The sequence below is a fragment of the Homo sapiens genome, chromosome 17 (assembly GCF_000001405.40).
Source record: "Homo sapiens chromosome 17, GRCh38.p14 Primary Assembly".
Taxonomy (NCBI): Eukaryota; Metazoa; Chordata; class Mammalia; order Primates; family Hominidae; genus Homo; species Homo sapiens.
In genome coordinates this window covers 47,771,762-47,791,144 of record NC_000017.11, presented here as the reverse complement: position 1 = coordinate 47,791,144, position 19,383 = coordinate 47,771,762, and the positions used below count along the sequence as shown (strand labels likewise).

At 47.8% G+C, this 19,383-nt stretch overlaps 3 annotated features.

Moving 5' to 3' along the window:
* Nucleotides 332–1,132: an enhancer, noted in NCBI's record as "H3K4me1 hESC enhancer chr17:45867379-45868179 (GRCh37/hg19 assembly coordinates)". NCBI's record gives its function as "activates a minimal SCP1, AML or CMV promoter by ChIP-STARR-seq in naive H9 embryonic stem cells {active_cell/tissue: H9 hESC(naive)}" and the evidence as "EXISTENCE:reporter gene assay evidence [ECO:0000049][PMID:30033119]".
* Nucleotides 1,133–1,935: an enhancer, noted in NCBI's record as "H3K4me1 hESC enhancer chr17:45866576-45867378 (GRCh37/hg19 assembly coordinates)". NCBI's record gives its function as "activates a minimal SCP1, AML or CMV promoter by ChIP-STARR-seq in naive H9 embryonic stem cells {active_cell/tissue: H9 hESC(naive)}" and the evidence as "EXISTENCE:reporter gene assay evidence [ECO:0000049][PMID:30033119]".
* Nucleotides 12,667–13,180: an enhancer, noted in NCBI's record as "H3K27ac-H3K4me1 hESC enhancer chr17:45855331-45855844 (GRCh37/hg19 assembly coordinates)". NCBI's record gives its function as "activates a minimal SCP1, AML or CMV promoter by ChIP-STARR-seq in naive H9 embryonic stem cells {active_cell/tissue: H9 hESC(naive)}" and the evidence as "EXISTENCE:reporter gene assay evidence [ECO:0000049][PMID:30033119]".

Here is a 19,383-nt window from a genome sequence, read left to right as displayed (position 1 = left end):
GATCACTACAGTGACTCCATTGTGGGTAAGCCCAGCCATGAACTCAGCCAGCCTTGTAAGTGTTTAGTGCCTTGTTCTCAAACAGGGGCAGACAAGGCATTCCCAGAATGACAGCAGATCACCAAGTGTGGCTTGTGACATTTCAAATGGGAGCAGGCTAGAAGACTTCAGAAGAGATTTCTTCAGAGAAGTTAAAATTGACTGAAAACCTGAAACATCTAAAGAAACCTTATAATGTGAAAAATGGGACCCAAAATAAACACAGTGAAAAGAGCAACTTGGAGGAAACAGAGACATCCAGGGAAAAGAAAATCTCACTAACGCTGAGATTAGATCAAAGAGATTAGGTCAAATATGGCATTCAAGAAACAAGATAGAATGTTATTTTTAAAAAAGAATCTTCAGAGAATAAAAATATTCTCTTGGAAATTGAAAACAGGATAGCAGAAATTAAAATTTCAGTAGGAGTTGGAAGATAAAATTAAATCTCTTAGAAAGCAAATGAAACAAATGGAATGGAAATGGGAGAGAAAAGACAAGAAAATTACAGGACCAATCCAGAAAGTCCAACTCCTGACTTTCCCACCCCTTCTCCACTTAAGAAGCCCGGGGCTGTGGGGAGTTCCTGCCCCACCCATCTCAGACACAGGAGAGACATCTCCTTCTACCAGGGGCCCGAAAGTTCTGAAGAGCAGTAAGTCCCAGGATAGCAAAGATGCAGGTTGAGGGGGGCAAAAATAGGCACCTGCCCCCAGGCCTCACCTTGCGCGCACGCTCTGGGATGGACACAGGTGGCCCCAGGGTGGGATGTGGCCGGAGGACACGTGGGCCCCGAGGTGCCTGCAGGCCGGCGGGTGTGGACACCAGCTTCGCAGGAGCAGCGGGAGCAGAGCTCGGCGCGCTCGCGTGCAGCGGGCCCAGTGGCCGCGGAGCGGAGCCCGAGGACCAGAAGACGCCGGAACTGGAGAGACCCGGAGCGCCTTGGCCTCGGTCGCCTGTGCCCAGAGCGGCGTGGGTCCCCGGGCTCCCCCAGAGCTGGCGGTCTTTGAGTGCACAGGGAAGGCGCAGGGTCGGCGGCTGCGCTCAGACTCGGTCTCCTGCTGGCGGGAGAAACGCAGAGGCGACCGGGGAGGGAGGGCGCAGCGAGCCTGGGGCCGGGGCGAGGGGCAGCCGCATCACCGTGTCCGCGCTCCGGGCACACGTGCGGGGTCCCCTCCCCAGCACTGCTGGACCGGGGAGGTGGACCCCAGCCTGCACTCCTCCTCCTGGAGAGAGCAGGCCCGGGACACCTCCACTCTTGGACGGCCTCCCCACATCCTCTACCACTTCAGTATTTCCTCGGCAGCGTCCAGAGGGAGGGACGCGTTGAAGATGCCTGGACGGAACAAAGACGCGCCGGCTGCTGCGAGGAGGAAGCAGAGGAGGAACTGGCTTGAGGGAGGCGCAGAATTTTGGAGTGGGGGACGTGGTTGAAAGTACAAGTAAGGCCGGGCGCGGTGGCTCACGCCTGAAATCCCAGCACTTTGGGAGGCCAAGGCGGACGGATCACGAGGTCAGGAGATCCAGACCATCCTGGCTAACATGGTGAAACCCCGTCTCTACTAAAAATACAAAAAAATTAGCCGGGCATGGTAGCGGGTGCCTGTAGTCCCAGCTACTCGGGAGGCTGAGGCAGGAGAATGGCGTGAACCCAGGAGGCGGAGCTTGCAGTGAGCCGAGATCCCGCCACTGCACTCCAGCCTGGGCGACAGAGCGAGACTCCGTCTCAAAAAAAAAAAAAAAAAAAAAAAAGAAAAGAAAACTCACCCGTCGTAGTACAAAGACAGTAAGTAGCATCTCCGTTTATAGAAGGAGTTAGGATACAGAAGATAATGAGTAAAATGAGATTTAATAAGATAGAATAGACAAATATTGTTGAGCATCTTTTCATGTGCTAACTGCCATCTGAATAGTATGTCTTTTTTGGCGAAGTATTGTTCAAGTCTTCTGTCCATTTTGATGAAGCCCAATTTATTCATTTTTAAATTTTACAAATCAAGATTTTGGTGTTGTGTCTAATAAATCTTTGGCTAGCCTAAGACCACAAAGATTTTCTTCCAGGTTTGTAGTTTTACATGTATGTCTACGATCCATTTGAGGAAATTTTTGAATGTGGTTTTTCTTTTCTTTCGTTTGTTGCACGCAGATACCCACACTTTTTAGCATTTTTGATTAAAAAACTATCCTTTCCCCCCTCAGAATTGCCTTTATGCCTGTGGGGAGTTGATCTATGTCTGGATTCTCCAATCTGTTCCACTGATTTATTTGTTTATATTATGACACTATCACACAGTCTTGATTGTTGCAATTTTATGTATAATGTCTAATCAAGTAGTGTAATTCCTCCAACTTCATGTTTCTTTTTCAAAATTGTTTTGGCTAGTTTCGAGTACTTTGAATTTCTATATAAATTTTAGAATTGGCATGTGATTTTTTCTACCAAAAAAAATGCCTGCTGGGATTTTGGCTAGGATCACGTTGAATTTATAGTTCAATTTGAAGAGAATTAGTGTGGTAACAATATTGAGTCTTCTGATCCATATGCATGGCATATTTCTGTGTTTATTTAGGTCTTTAATTTTTTTCAGGAAGTTTTATAGGTTTCAGTGGTGTGTAGATCAAGCACATCTTTTGTTCCATTTCCCCAAGTATTTCATATTTTAATGCCATTGAAGATGGGATGGTGTTTTTGTTTTATTATTTATGTATTTATTTATTTATTTTGAGACAGACTCTTGCTCTTTTGCCCAGGCTGGAGTGCAGTGGCGCGACCTTGGCTTACCGCAACCTCCATCTCCCAGGTTCAAGCAATTCTCCTGCCTCAGCCTCCAGAGTAGCTGGGACTACAGGCACCTGCCACCACATCTGGCTAATTTTTGTATTTTTAGTAGAGATGGGGTTTCACCATGTTGGCCAGGCTGGTCTTGAACTCCGGGCTTCAGGTGATCTGCCTGCCTTGGCCTCCCAAAGTGCTGGGATTACAGGCATGAGCCACTGCACAAAGATGGTGTTTTAAAATTTTTCAACTTCCTTCCTTCCTTCTTTCCTTCCTTCCTTCTTTCCTTCCTTCCTTCTTTCCTTCCTTCCTTCCTTCCTTCCTTCCTTCCTTCCTTCCTTCTTCCTTCCTTCCTTCCTTCCTTCCTCCCTCCCTCCCTCTCTCTATCCCTTTCTTTCTTCTTTCTTTCTTTCATAGGGTCTCACTCTTGTCATTTAGGCTGAAGTACAGTGGTATGCTCTTGGCTCGCTGCAGCCTTATGGCAGCCTTGACTTCCCTCACTCAGGTTATCCTCACACCTCAGCCTCCCACAGGTGTGTGCCATGCCCAGCTAGTTTTTTGTATTTTTTGTAGACAGGGTTTCGCCATGTTGTCCAGGCTGGTCTCAAACCCCTGGACTCAAGCAATCGGGCTGCCTCGGCCTACCAAAGTGCTAGGATTACAGGTGTGAGCCACTGTGACCAGCCACAATTTTCAATTTCTGATAATTCATTGCTGGTCTATAGAAATACACTTAATTTTGGGGCTGGGTGCGGTGGCTCACACCTGTAATCCCAGCACTTTGGGAAGCCGGGGCAGGCAGATCACATGAGGCCAGAAGTTTGAGACCAGCCTGACGAACATGGCGAAACCCAGTCTCTACTAAAAATACAAAAATTAGCCAGGAGTAATAGCGCACACCTGTAATCCCACCACTTTGGGAAGCCAAGGTGGGTGGATCACCTGAGGTCAGGAGTTCGAGACCAGCCTGGCCAACATGATGAAACCCCATCTCTACTAAAAATACAAAAAATTAGCTGGGCATGGTGATGAGCACCTGTAATCCCAGCTACTCGGGAGGCTGAGGCAGGAGAATCGCCTGAACTTGGGAGGTAAGGTTGCGGTTAGCTGAAATCCCACCATTGCACTTCAGCCTGGGCAACAAGAGTGAAACTCCATCTTAAAACAAAAACAAAAACAAAAAACAAAAAAGAAACATTTTAACAAAAACAAAGCAAGATACCTTTGCTAATACCTTCATTTTTCTGTAACATATTTCATAAAGATAGCACAAATTTCTGAGGGTGTTTTAACATACTGTTCCATTCCAAAATTGATAAATTCAGGATTATATACTTTAAAATAGAGATTAGGTTTCTGGTTCCTGCCAAAATGTCAAATTAGCTTCACTAGCTCCTTCCACAACTTCATCAACCTTGGATTCTAAAGGGAATGCTTACATTTCCCCATGTAGGATGGCATTTATTATAGGATTTTTGTAGACATATTTTCTCAAGTTAAGAAAGTTCTCTTTTATTCTTAATCTTCTAAGGCTCGTTTTTTAAATCACAAATTAACATTGAACTTAATTTCTTTCTGCATCTATTGAGTTGATCATATGTTTTTTTTCTGTTAATCTGTTAAAAGGATGAATAACTTTTATACCATTTTATCATTTAATTAAGTTCTAAGTACTTTAAAATTTTCACTGTGCTTTCTTCTTTGACCTATGAATTATTATTATTATTATTTAGTGTCTCGCTCTGTCACCTAGACTGGAGTGCAATGACATGATCACAGTTCACTGCAATCTCAAACTCCTAGGCTCAAGGGATCCTCCCACCTCAGCCTCCCCAGTAGCTGGGACTACAGCATTATGCCACCACACCCAGCCAATTTTTAAATTTTTTTGTAGAGACAGGGTCCCACTTTGTTGCCCAGGCTGTTCTTGAACTCCTGGCCTCAAGCCATCCTCCCACCTTGGCCTCCCAAAGTGTTGGGATTACAGGCGTGAGCCACCATGCATGGCCCTGTGAATTATTTAGATCTGTTTTCATTTTCAAATATTAAATTTTAACATAATTGCATTATGGTCAGAAAGTAAAATGTATATAATTCCTGTTCTGTGAAGTTTGTTGTAACTTTCACTTTTTCCCCAATGTACAATTAGGTCACTGCCTATCAATCTCACTTTTTTGTTTGTTTGTTTGTTTTTTGTTTTTTCAAGCTTACTCTAAAATATGATTCCCAGGACCCTACATCCCAGTGGGAGATTCGAAAGGTTAGTGCAGCAGTCTAGCTGAGGTCAAGATGGGAGGCCTCCTCATGGAGTGATTTCACATGATCCTAATGGGGAACCTTCTCAAATTATTGACCACTAGGCCATATGTCATAATTAGCTCCCTATCAGTCTCCTCTGCTCCAAAACTCTTGCAGCCTCCAGCACCATGGACAGCGGAAAGCGCTGACCTGGGGTCTACAGTGCTTTGGATTCCTCACTGTTGTACTTGCTAGGACCTCATCCAAAATCTTTGCCTTTGAACCTGGGACTTCCTAGAGAAAGTTTCAGTAAAAGTTTCAATTATGGCCAGGACTATATTGCCTCTCCTGGAGCTGACTGTCTTCAAAGAGGTCTTGACTCAGCGTTTATTCTCCAAAACAGATTCTCAGTCCCATGGAACCTCCATGGGATATGGGAAGAGAACGGTGTTGGACATCTGGGACAGGGTGTTGATGCTCCACTTCTCTGTGCTGGGCCTGGTCTTCTGCAACAGCAAAGATGAGAGAAGCCTCTGTCTCATTTCTTCTACCCTCTTCCAGACAATTAGGTCACATGGTTCCTCTACCAGTCATGACTTTCCTGATGGGGTGTGAGCTATGCCTTATAAGGGTCTTTATAAACCTAGCACAGTTTAAGGGACATCTGTAGTCTGCTCTGATTAGTGATCCACTGGCCGAAAGGTAGGAATTCTAGGAAAGCTGCTAGCATAATACAGGGATGTCTAAACCCTTGTATTCCTAAAGTGATCAAAACTAAAAATAAAAACAAAATATGTCTCAGTACTGAAATGATGGAGGGTGACACCCACAAATCATACACAACCAGAGAGGAGCTCCTCATGGGTCGAATTCACATCAGACTGTGGTGTGTGGCAAAATCAACCTCCCTGCTTTATACAAGACACACACACACACACACACACACACACACTCACACACACCTTTACCAAGAAAATGTCAGAATATATAGGAATTAGAAAGAGGAAATTCTGGTTTATCTTCACTATCAGCTACTTGCTGGTAAGGCTGATGCTGATGAAATGGGCTTTTGAAGATTTACGAGCACTCTGGAACCCCTTTCTAATGCCATAGCTCATCTGTTTTCAGTGACAGATGCAAATTGGTGGTGTAAGATGGACCTACAGAGAAGGAAAGATATCTCTTGTCTATGCGCAGATCTTTCTCTGACCTTACATCTCATTAATATAGACACTGGGCATGGTGGCACACATCTGTAGTCCCAGCTACTCCAGGAGGCTGAAGAGGGCCAATTGCTTGAGCCCAGGAGTTAGAGGCCAGCCTTGGCATTTTAGCAAGACTCTGTGTCTCTCTCTTTTTTTTTTTTTTTTTTTTGAGATAGACTCTCGCTCTATTGCCCAGACTGGAATGCAGTGGCATGATCTTGGCTCACTGCAATTTCCGCCTCCTGGGTTCAAGCGATTCTCCTGTCTCAGCCTCCCAAGTAGCTGGGATTACAGGCATGCGCCACCACACCCCGCTATTTTTTTAAATATTTTTGACAGAGATGGGGTTTCACCATGTTGGCCAGGGTGGTCTCAAACTCCTGACCTCAAGTGATCTATCCGTCTTGGCCTCCCAAAGTGCTGGGATAACAGGCGTGAGCCGCTGCGCCCGGCCAAGATCCCATTTCTAAAAAAAAAAGAAAAAGAAAAAGAAAAGAAAGAAAAAAAGAAAGAATAGGGACTGACACTGGGCCACAGTTTCCTGAGGAGTTGTTAGAAGTGAAAATAAGAGCCAGAATAATCCCAAACCTCCCCCACTGTCCCTGTGGTATGAGGGGCTGGGGAAGATGCGAACCTCATCCAGAGAGGACCGTGAGGAAAGAAGTGTGTTCAAAGAGAAGTACATGTCAGATAAGTTACAGGGACAGCAGAAGGCCATTGTGTGTACAAGCTGGGGAAGGAAAAATTTTTTACATCTTAGAATGGAGGTTCTACCTGCCTCTGTGGAAAGGGGTGTTTGTATGAGATGGAAGAAGGATGTGTTGGGAAAATGGGAGCCAAGTGCAGTAGGATGGGAGTTGCTACTTGAGACAAGGAGAGATGTGATTTGGGGCATACTGAATGGGATGTGAAGAGGACATGGAAGAAATTCACCTGTTTTTATGGGGTCTGCACACTTGGGGATGGCAAGGGTGTGGCCTGTAAGGACCCTACCTCATGGGTCAGGAAGGGTACTCATGGCCAAGTTCAGGTCAGCTTACCATTCCATGACATTTTCTTACAAGACAACATGATGGTTTTTCCATTGAAGGAGGGGCTGGGAAAAGCCACAGGGAATGAAGTGATGTTCACAGAAGGCAGGTATCAGAAAATCTTGTCTTCAGTGTCTGTTCTGTATTTGCAGACCTGAGACTGGGGAATGGTATGAGCTGAAAATGATCTGCCCCTGGAAAGCTGGGGCAGGAGAAAGACCATCCTTCCAGAGACAGGGGATTGATAAAGAGGCTTAAAACGGTAGCAGGGATGATGGTCTGTTGGTTTGCTGGAGAGGCGGTGGGAGAGAGGGGTTGAGGAAGAATAAAGGTTTCAAAGCCAGGTACCATAGTACATGGCTGTAATCCCAAGTACTCGGGAGGCTGGGCAGGAGGATCACTTGACTGGCCTGGAGTTTAAGACTGGCCTGGGTATCATTGTAAGACTCTCAAAAAAAGAAAAAAAAGAAAGAAAGAAAAAGAAAAAAAAAGCCAGGCATGATGGCTCAAGCCTGTAATCTCAGCACTTTGGGAGGCCAAGGTGGAGTCTCGCCAGCATGGCGAAACCCTGTCTCTACTAAAAGTACAAAAATTAACCGGGTGTGGAAGTGCGCACCTGTGGTCCCAGCTACTAGGGGTGCTGAGGCAGAAGAATTGCTTGAACCCGGGAGGTGGAGGTTGCAGTGAGATGAGATCGCACCACTGTACTCCAGCCTGGGCGACAAAGTGAGACTCCATTTCAAAAAAAAAGAAAGAATCTTTTCATGTACACTTATATGGCAGTACGGTATAGACCAGCCCCATGAGTCTTCATCCTGGAGAAATCAGCCTCTCCCCAGATAAGGCAGAGAGAGAAAAAAGTCTCTTGTCGGGTCAGATAAAGGAATCCCCCAGGCTCTCCCTTCAAAACCACCCCCATCCTGACACCATCTTATGTGAGGTATTTTAGGGACCTTTTCTCAGAGCTCTAGCTTTGGTGACCTTGAGGATTGGCTTTTTTCCACTCATTGTAATGTCCTGGTGATTCATTGAGTTGTGTGTGTCACAGTAACCCGTTCTGGTGTGTGTGTGTGTGTGTGTGTGTGTGTGTGTGTGTGTTGTTTGTTTGTTTTTTGTTGTTCTTTGTTTTGTTTTGAGACAGCGTCTCACTCTGGTGTCCAGGCTGAAGTGCAGTCATGCGATTTCCGCTCACTGCAACCTCCACCTCCCCAGCTCAAGTGATTCTCCTGCCTCAGCCTGTTGAGTAGCTGGGATTACAGGCGCTTGCCACCACACCCGACTAACTTTTGTATTTTTAGTAGAGACAAGGTTTTGCCATGTTGGCCAGGCTGTTCTCAAACTCCTGACCTCAAGTGATCTGCCTGCCTCGGCCTCCTAAAGTGCCGGGATTACAGGCGTGAGCCACCTCACCTGCTGAACCCGTTCCTTTTTACTGGGAGTGGTATTCCATGGTGTAGATGAACCACAGTTTGTTCATCCATTCACTCATTGAAGGACGTTTGGGTTTTTCCTAATTTGGAGCTCTTATAAATAGAGCCACTATGAACATTTGTGTACAGGCTTTTTTGTGAACAGAAGTTTTCATTTCTCTGGGATAAATGCTGAGGAGTGGAATTGCTGGAGCATATGGTAAGGGTATGTTGAGTTTTATAAGAAACTGCACAACTGTTTTCCAGTCTTTGGGCTTTCTTATTTTTCTTTTTTGTTAATTTGTTCATTTCCTCTCAGGTGATTCCAGGGACAGTGATCTTTGATTTGATGATCACTGACAGCTCATCTCAGGGATGTAGTCAGTCTTAGAAGTGACAACCCACATGGAACTTTGTTCTGGTTTTTCCAGGTTTTCCAAGCAATTTGCTTTTGTTGTCATATTAGGGTAAAGTTATCCTTGTTATAATTTCACTTAAATGTAAAAAATATTATATAAGTCTTTCAAAAGTTTTAAGAACATAGAGAAATGAAAAACATGAGCCCCAGCCCATAATCTGCTACTGATTTTTTCTTGGTTAAGTTACTGAATTTCTTTGAACTTCACTTCTTCTTCAGTAAACCAGGGAAGAGTATTTACCTGGGAGGCAATTATAAACACTAAAAAAGTAAAAAGCGATGTAAAATGCCTGGGCCATTGTAGGCACCAAACAGAACATAATTGTTGTGATAATGATCAGCTTCCTCAGACTCCTGATTTAATTCTATCTCCATGTAACAGCTGAGCATTTAATTAGCAGCAGACTGAGCTGAGATGCGTGGTCACCTACCTAGAGTGAGTAAGACCTCACCCTAGGGGTTGGAAGGAGGATGTCAACCATAGCCTCAAGTGTCAGAGCAGAACTCCCGGGCAGGAAACCCACCCCATTGGACCCACAACTGTTAATATGCGACATGGAAAGCATCTCTACAGCACGGTCATGGGTATCATCTAAAAGTCCCTCAAGTGACAGCCCCTCACACAGGTCCTTGGGGACAGTCCAGGGTGCGATGGCCTGGGGGTATTGTCCTTCACGGGTGACCCATGCATGGTCCAGCCTTCCTCAGGTCCCGCTTCATGATCTCTCCTTTGAACCACAGTCATCTTAAATGGCCTGGGATCTTTGCCCACTCATGGTTCTTCTCAACTAGCTGCTTGGGTTGTTGGAATTTCCTCAGCTCTGGGGGTTGGCATAGAGGAGGGTCTTCTGCTTGAGGAGGGCAGAGGAGGCCTCTGGGCTCTCAGACTAGTAAGGGAGGGCCTGAAGGGTGGTGGCCCAGCTGTGTGCAGGAGAGCAGTTCAGCCCAACAGAGCCAGAGCTGTTCGGATCAGGTGGCCCATGTCCAGGCAGGGAGGGTCCCTTTAGTTTGCTGAGAGAGTTCCCTTGGCTTGGAAAGCCGTGCACCCCAGGCAGGCCGAGGACCTGCAAGTCTTTGTTCCAGGTTCTGCCAAAGAGGCCAGTCCTTCCCCTGCGACTTGGGTCCCCTGTCTCCCCAGAATCATGGACCTTAATGGCACTGAGATAATGACTTCCACCCAATCTACACGCCCCCCCCCCCCAACTCTGGGGTCTCCCCTCCAGCACTCCAGCCTCAGGAGTCTGGGGACCTCTCCTGATAGGCACTCACAGGGAGTATGCCAGGCTCGCATCACTGTGACCACTCCTACCGACACAGCGACACAGGGACACTGCAAGTCCGAAGAGGCCTTCAGTCCCCAGCTTTTCACACTCTACTCTCCTTCCCAGTTTGATCTGATTCGTTGTTGTTGTTGACAATTAATGTGTGTTTTTCTTTTTTTCTTTTTTTTTTTTTGAGACGGAGTCTTGCTCTGTCACCCAGGCTGAAGTGCAGTGGTGCAATCTCCACTCACTGCAACCTCTGCCTCCCAGATTCAAGCGATTCTCGTGCCTCAGCCTCCCGAGTAGCTGGCATTACAGGCACTCACCGCCACGCCCAGCTAATTTTTGTATTTTTAGTAGAGACGGAGTTTCACCACATTGGTCAGGCTGGTCTTGAACTCCTGACCTCAAGTGATCCACCCGCCTTGGCCTCCCAAAGTGCTGGGATTATAGGCATGAGCCACCACACCTGGCCAAATGTGTGTTTTTCACAAAATGATGTATTTAATTTTAAAAAGAGAAAGAAGGGGTTATAAGTGTGATCTGCTGTTCCTTGCCATATACATATATATACAAGAGTATGTCTACCTCACAATGCACACAGGAAAATCTTGACCTCTTCCTGGAAAAATGAGGGCTCTGTCACCTCCGGGGAGTTTACAAAGAGTGGAGAGAGACTTCAGTGTTCTTTTCTGGGTCCTTTAGGACTGGTTATATCATTTACAAGGAGCTGGTACTTCTTTTGGAATAAAAATAAATTTGAGAAAAAAAATTCATAATATTTCACCCAATGGTTCTTGTCTTAGTTCTTATCCTAAAAGAATAGGCATATGTTGGCACAGATTCATGTGCAAGGATGTTGGCTGTGGCAAAATTTAGAGACTATTTAGAGATTGACAATCTAACCTTCTATCAATAAGGAATTGACTAAATAAGTTGTCATCTACTCTTCCAATTAAATATAATATGGACTTTAAAAATCATGCTTTTATAAATTATTTGATGATATGGGAAAATGTTCTTGATATAATGTTGGTTTTTTTGTTTTTTTTTGTTTGTTTGTTTATTTTTGAGACAGGGTTTCACTCTGTCACCCAGGCTGGAGTGCAGTGGTGTGATCACAGCTCACTCACTACGGCCTCAACCTCCCAGGCTCAAGCGATCATCCCATCTCAGCCTCCCAAACAGCTAGGACTACAGGCACACACAACCACACCCGGCTAGTTTTTGTATGTTTTGTAGAGACGGAGTCTCCCTATGTTGCCCAGGCTGGTCTCAAATTCCTGGACTCAAGCGATCCTCCCTCCTTGGGCTCCCAAAGTGCTGGGATTACAGGCCTGAGCCACCGTGACCAGCCAAATTTAAATACAGTGTGATTTTGTATATATTAATTTAATATTAATAAAGACAATAAGATTGTCTCTTGGTGATAACATTAGGAGCAATTTATAATTTTCTTACTTTTGTTGTAAATTCTCAAATTTTCTAAAATTGACTTTCATCACTTTGATCTGCAAGAAAAAAACAACAGTGATCAAAAGAAATGCAAAGGAGCATTTGAGCCTGGAAAGAGGCCATTGGTCCTTGACCCCTCCTAGCCATAAAAAAGGATGAGTTCATGTCCTTTGCAGGGACTTGGATGAAGCTGGAAACCATCATTTTGAGCAAACTATCACAAGGACAGAAAACCAAACACTGCATGTTCTCACTCGTAGGTGGGAATTGAACAATGAGAACACTTGGACACAGGGCGGGGAACATCACACACCGCGGCCGGTCTTGGGGTGGGGGGCTGGGGAAAGGATAGCATTAGGAGAAATACCTAATGTAAATGACGAGTTAATAGGTGCAGCACACCAACGTGGCACATGTATACATATGTAACAAACCTGCACATTGTGCACATGTACCCTAGAACTTAAAAAGTAAAAAAAAAAAAAGGGTCTAACCCTCCTTCGTCTAATCCAACCACCTCTTGATCCTCAATACTTTAATTGAGGGGACCTGAGGTGCCTTTTCTGTGGCCATCCTATAGCCTCCTCAGCCTCTTCAGTAGCTAGGGTGGTAGAGGGCCACCAAGATGACGGCTGCCAGGGACCTGCTCTCTCTGCGGGTCCCGCCGCGCCCCTCGTCACTGTTGGTGAGCGGAACCCCGCTGTGTGCGGACGGACCACGAATAGACTCTGCTGCCTCCCTGGCCCCCGGCCCGGGTCCCAGCCGGTCTTCCCCGCCATTGGGGGACTGAGTCCGAGCGCTGCTGCGAACCCTGCGCCTTCTCCGCGTGCTCCGAGCCCGGCAGCCCCCAGGAAGCCGAGAAAGGCAGCGGACTGGTCCGCGCCGCTCAGGGCGCAGGCCATCGAGGCCAAGGCGCGCCGGGTCCCTCCCGCTCGGGCGTCTCTGGTCCTCCGGCTCTGCCCCGTGGCCACCCGGCCTGCTGCACCGAGAGCCCCGGGCTCTGCCCCGCGCTGCTCCTTCCTGCAAGGCTGCTGTCCACACCCGCCGGCCTGCAGGCGCCTCGGGGTCCACATGTCCCCGCCACATCCCACCCCTGGGCCACCCGGGTCGGTCCCAGAGTGTGCGCTGAAGGTGATGCCTGGGGGCAAGTGCCCATTTCTGTCCTCTCAACCTGCATCTTTGCCAGCTCTTCTAGAACTTTCTGGCCTCTTTTAACCACATTGTCTTCTGTATCTGAGGTGGGTGGGGCAAGACTCCCCACAGCCCAAGCCTCTGTAGCTGGAGAGGAGGATTAGTCAGATGGCAGACACGGGATGGTGCTCTGTCCCAGGAACTGATGGCGAAGTAACCCTGTCTTTTAAGAGAGTGATGGTGGACCTTAGACTCCACTAAGGGTCTGCTCTGCTCCTGCCGCAACTAAACTGGTAGGTAATTTTAGGAACTATGGTTCCCATCTACAGTTGGCAGGGCCCTTATCCCCGCTCCCTTCCAAACTCTGATTCCATCATCCATGAGAGCCAATCTGCCATTGCTGGGGCTGGATGGTGTCATATCCTTCCTTACAGATGAGGAACCTGAACCTCAGCGGGGCGATGACAGTGCATGACAGAGCAGGCCTAGAACCCAGGCCTCCTGAAGAATTCAGTGCTCTTTCCTCTGCCCCTCACTCCCTCTACGCATGTGAGAGCTGGGAAAGGAGGGTGAGGGGTCAGGAGTGACTCCGCTACGTCTGGATCCCTGCGGGCTGCATCCCCACAGAGCCCAGCTTCAGGGAGGTGGCCTGGGCCTGCATTGTAGGGAGGGAGGGTTGCGTGACCTCTCTTCTGATCTTCCACCTTCTCTCCCGCTTCCTAGGTACACGCCAGAGCAGTGGCGTCCCTTGTCACTCATGAGTTCTCTGCTGAATTGGGCAGTGGGCCTAATCACCACCCTGTTCTCACCCCAATCCTCACCCTCTCTGCAGGACACAGGGATGTCTCCCATCTCCCCACCTCACTCCCATCCCACTAACAACTCTCTCCCAAAAACCAGAGGTGAGGGCCAGAGCTAGACCCACATGACCTAGCCCAGACCATGGTCAGGCTCAGGTAGCTGGGGAGGCAGGAGTGGTTGGGGAGAGGTCTGTGGCTGCTTAGGGGCCAGATCACTATGAGGGCCCAGTGGGTGAGGCTGGTGGAGGGGCCTGACTCCCAGGGGTGGGCGTGGGGGAGGGAACAGGCATAGTTTTCCACAGAGAATGTGACTTTCCCTCTCCCCAGTGTCCTGGGGGACAGGGCTAAAGGTTGGGGATATCTGTGTCTCTGCGGGATAAGAGGTGGTGTGTATTGGGGTGCACACAGCCTGAGTTAGGAGATGCTTCTATATGGGTCATTTGCCATCACTAGGCGGCACCTTCAGCCATCATCACACATTTGTGGCCTGATTCTCACTGACCTGCTTCGATAGATACCCAAGTAGAAGAAAAGGCAATGAGTCCTACGAGGCTCTTCATCATAGTGAAGTGGGTGCTTTGGGGAGATTGGGGAGCCCTCTTGTGGATGCTTGAGGAATTTCACTATGTCTTTTCCATCTTCCATGCACAGTCATGCACCGCATAATATTTGTCAAGAATGGACCGCATAAATGACAGTCGTCCCATAAGATTATAATATGGTATTTTTACTGTGCATTTTATATGTTTAGATACACAAATACTTACCATTGTGTTACAATTGCCTACAGTATTCAGTGCAGTAACATGCTGTACACGTTTGTAGCCTAGGAGCAATAGGCTATGCCGCATAGCCTAGGTGTGAAGTGGGCTATACCATCCGGGTTTGTGGAAGTACACTCTGATGTTCCCACCACAATGAAATCACCTAACGACGCATCCCTACCCGTCATTAAGGGACACATGACTGCAGTTTCATAACCATTTCCATCCCACCCCCACTCTGCTCATGGGCCCATTGAGTGGTCTCTTTATTAAGGACAAAAAGAATTCATGGGTCCCAAGATTAAGTTTCAACACAGGAAACCCTATTATTGTATATATAAGCAACTAATAGCAGTCATTATGTGCTTTAGAAATAACTCTTCTTCCTCACAAGCTACCCTGTGAGGTAACTACTTTTATCATCCCTATTTTACAGATGAGGAAATTGTGGGACAGAGAAGTTAGGTGACTTGCCTAAAGCTGCACAGCTACTCTGGATTCCAGATTCTCTGCTGTTAAGCACTCCACTATACTGCCTCCCACTGGTGTGGGAAGGCTCATACAGTAACACAGTCACAGCCAGGGACTTGAGTGCATGCAACAGAGAGAATTTTCCCAGTCCTCTTCTCTGACTTCCCCAAAGCTCCTCCAGCACCTCCCCAGGATGTCTCTGTCCTGACACATGAATGGAGGGTCAGGAGACCTCCTAGAACCTCCCCTCTCTTTTTGTCACATCTGGTGGTGGAAAATGAGGGAGGAGACTGGGCTGCTCAAAGCTCAGAGACTCTCAGGGAGAATCAGGGTACTCTAAGTTAAATGGACCCATCATCAACTGTACCAGAAGCCAGTGTAGACACGGGCTAGTCCGATGAGGTCCACAGTGTCTTTCTGCTCTCCACCCTCTTGGCATGGAGTGGGTCCTGATGGATGATCATAAGACTTGCCTCTCTTCTGAAACCTGAAACCTGGGGGTGTGCAGGGTCAGAAGAACTCCCTTTCCACCATTTTATAGAGAAGGAAATGAAGTCTCTTCCCAAGACCAGTCACAACATGTGTTTGTTGACAATATACTATGAGTGCTGGGAGACAGGGCTACAAAGGCAGATAAAGAACATGCCTCTGCCCTTGAGGGACCCTGCATAGTAGAGGAAGGACAGATGAGTAAGCAATGACTGTGATTTCATGTGATGGGTTTGCAGTGGGGGGTGATTACTGCAGAAAAGGGGGCTGAACTATGCTTGGGTGGGGCAGGAAAGGCTTTTGAGGAGATGCCCTTGGGATTGGTCTTGGAGGGTGGGTCAGGATTAATCAGCTAGGATAAGAGCATCAATGTGAGGCACATGCAGCCATCTGAAACAACAGGGCAAGTTCAGTGACCTATGTGCAAGGAACTGGCTGGAACAGAGACTGCCTAGGAAGAGCATGGGAAATTTGCTGGGGAAGTTGAGGTCAGATCACAAAGGTCTCACTTGCCATGCTGCAGAGTTCAGACTGGAGACTGCAAGTGCAGGCAGGGGGTAGTATCAGCCTCTTCAAAGAGCATAGATGAGGAGGTCTTGCTGCACCACCTCAGAGGGTGGGAGAGAGGCGCCTGAGATGGTTCACTTAGTTTATGAGTGTTTTCATTAGATTTGTGTGGAGTCCTCTATTAGTCAGAACTCTTTTAGTTACAGGCAGCAGAAACCCACTCAAACCAACTTTAAGAGGGAACTTGCTGGCTCACACTGGGAGGACACTGTACTCTAAGAGTCTAAAGGGCTGAAGGAGGGCAACAGGCACCAACAGGACTGGAACTCAGGACACAAGGCCACCAGGGCTCCATCCTTGCCCATGTCTCATCTCCACTTGTGTCTGCTTGCCTTTTTTCTACACACCGACTCCCTCCAGAAGGCGGGAAGATGGCCACCTGCAGCCCCATGCCTATAACATCTCAACTAGCAATCCCAACATGAAAGGGACCTCCTTCCAGTGTCTGTAGGGTAATTCCAAAAAAGAATCTGATTGGTCCTGCTTGGGTCACTGATACCCATTGGTCTAACCACTGTTGCCAGGGACATGAAAAACTGATTAACCCAGCCTGGTCACATGCCCGCCTTTGCAGAGGAGGTGGAAGTAGAAGACAGCACCACAGCTCAGCTCCTCAGGACCATGTAGAGGGAGAGAGGCAGTTCCTCAAAGAAATGGGGGTGCAGTTATCAGGAGGTGCACAAAAAATGGGCTGGACAGCAAACCATAGAAGCTGCTACCTGTCGGGTGCCTGTAATCCCAGCTACTCGAGAAACTGAGGCAGAGAATTGCTTGAACCCAGGAGGCAGAGGTTGCAGTGAGCTGAGATCACACCACTGCACTCCAGCCTGGGCGGCAGAGCGAGACTCCGTCTCAAAACAAACAAACAAAAAAGAAGCTGCCACTTGTATGTGCCAGATGTCCCACTATAGCTGGAGATTCGAAAATGAGATCCAGTGTCTAACTTCACATAGTTCACAGTCCCAGTGAGGGTTCAGATGATTAGAAAGTATACAGTGATGGGCCGGGCACAGTGGTTCACACCTGTAATCCCAGCATTTTGGGAGGCCGAGGTGGGCGAATCACCTGAGGTCAGGAATTTGAGACCAGCCTGGCCAACATGGTGAAACCCTGACTCTACTAAAAATAAAAAACTAGCCAGGTGTGGTAGATGCCTATAATACCAGCTAGTCGGGAGGCTGAAGCAGGAGAATTGCTTGAACCCCGAAGGCGGAGGTTGCAGTGAGCCAAGATTGCGCCATCGCGCTCCAGCCTGGGTGACAAGAGAGAAACTCTGTCTCAAAAAAAAAAAAAAGGAAGTATACAGTGATGATGGGGCACAGGGACTCTCCAGACATTGGGAGCCCAAGAGAGGACACCCAACACAGACTGAGGCAGGAGGAAACCAGGAAACGCTTTCCTAAAAACATTGTCCCTCAACTGAGTTATGGAAGATGAATGAGAATTAGCAAAGGAAGAAGAAAGTTCAGGGAGGGACAGTAACATACAGAGGTATAGACCTCAGAAATGGTAGGTTCTGGCTTGGGATAAAGGGCAAACTTGCCCAGTTCCTTGAGACAGGGACAAATGGGAGGTTCAGCTTGAGGTGAGAGGCACTGGAGAGTTGAGATTGGCACATGGGGGGGATGGAGGTGCTTGTCGGTCAGTCGGGTGGAGATACCCAGTGGATGACTAGATAATTTTGTACCTTAGAGGTTGAGAAAAGGGATTAAGCTGTGGAGATAAATTTGGGATTCATCTCACGGGCGGTAGCTAAAGCCACAGGAGGATGCCATCACTCAGGGCGAGCCAGAGCTGGAGGACATCCACGTTCACTGAGCGGCAGACACAGAAGGCAGGCGAACGACGGAGTCTGGTGGGGAGGACAAGCACCACGAGTCAGTGGCGAATGGTGAGGAAATGGTTTGTGCTCCCGCATCCCAATTGCTCTGCATAAGTCATTCTCTCTCATTTGAAGACTTCTAGGAGGAAAAAGAGATGACCTACAAAGGTAAAATGAAAATCAGATTTTCAGTTGACATCTCATAAGCAACACCTGATGCAAGAAGAAGGAAGCGAGCTAGGCGTGATGGTGCACACCTGTAGTCCCACAGCTACTCGGGAGGCTGAGGTGGGAGGATCATTTAAGCCCAGGAGTTCCAGGCTGCACTGAGCTATGATTGCACCACTGCACTCCAGCCTGAGCAACAGAGCCAGACCTTGTCCAAAAAGAAAGAAGGTGGAGCAAAACCCTCAAAGAGTATAGGGTGCATTAAGACTGATAGTTGGCCAGGTGCAGTGGCTCACACCTGTAATCCCAGCAGTTTGGGAAGCCAAGTCAGGTGGATCACCTGAACTCAGGAGTTCGAGACCAGTCTGGCCAACATGGCCAAACCCCATCTCTACAAAAAATACAAAAATTAGCTGGGCATGGTGGTGCATGGCTGTAATCCCAGCTACTTAAGAAACTGAGGTAAGAAGCCCTTGAGCCCAGAAGGTGGAAGCTGCAGTGAGCAGAGATCAAGCCACTACATTCCAGCCTGGGTGACAGAGTGCGACCCTGTCTCAAAAAAACAAAGAAACACAAACACCTGATATTTGGCTGGGTGTAGTGGCTCACACCTGTAATCCCAGCACTTCAGGAGGCTGAGGCAGGAGGACTGCTTGAGCCTGAGAGTTCAAGACCACCCTGGGCAACATGGCAAGACCGTGTCTCTACAAAAAATAAAAATTAAAAATTAACTGGGTGTGGTGGTGTGCATTTGTATTCCCAGCTACTTGGAGGCTGAGGCAAGAGGATCACTTGAGCTCAGGAAGTTGAGGCTGCAGTGAGCCGTGATCAGGCCACTGTACTCCAGCCTGGGCAACAAAGTGAGACCATGTCTCAAAAAAAAAAAAAGAAAAAAATCAGCTGGGTGCATGGCCATCCAGAATGAAGGTTCCACATCCAGGCTTCCATGAAGCTAAGTGTGGCCATGTGACTAAGTTCCGGCTGTCCCTTCCTTCTTTGCACCTTCCTCCATCCTGCTGCCTAGAAAGCCAATATGAGGGCCGGATGCGGTGGCTCACGCCCATAATCCCAGCACTTTGGGAGGCCAAGGTGGGCAGATCATGAGGTCAGGAGTTCGAGACCAGCCTGACCAACATGGTGAAACCCTGTCTCTACTAAAAATACAAAAATTAGCTGGGCGTGGTGGTGCGCGCCTGTAATCCCAGCTACTCAGGAGGCAGAAGTGGGAGAATTGCTTGAACCCGGGAGGCAGAGGTTTCAGTGAGCCGAGATCACACCACTGCACTCCAGCCTGGGCAACAAAGCGAGATTCCGTCTCAAAAAAAAAAAAAAAAAAGC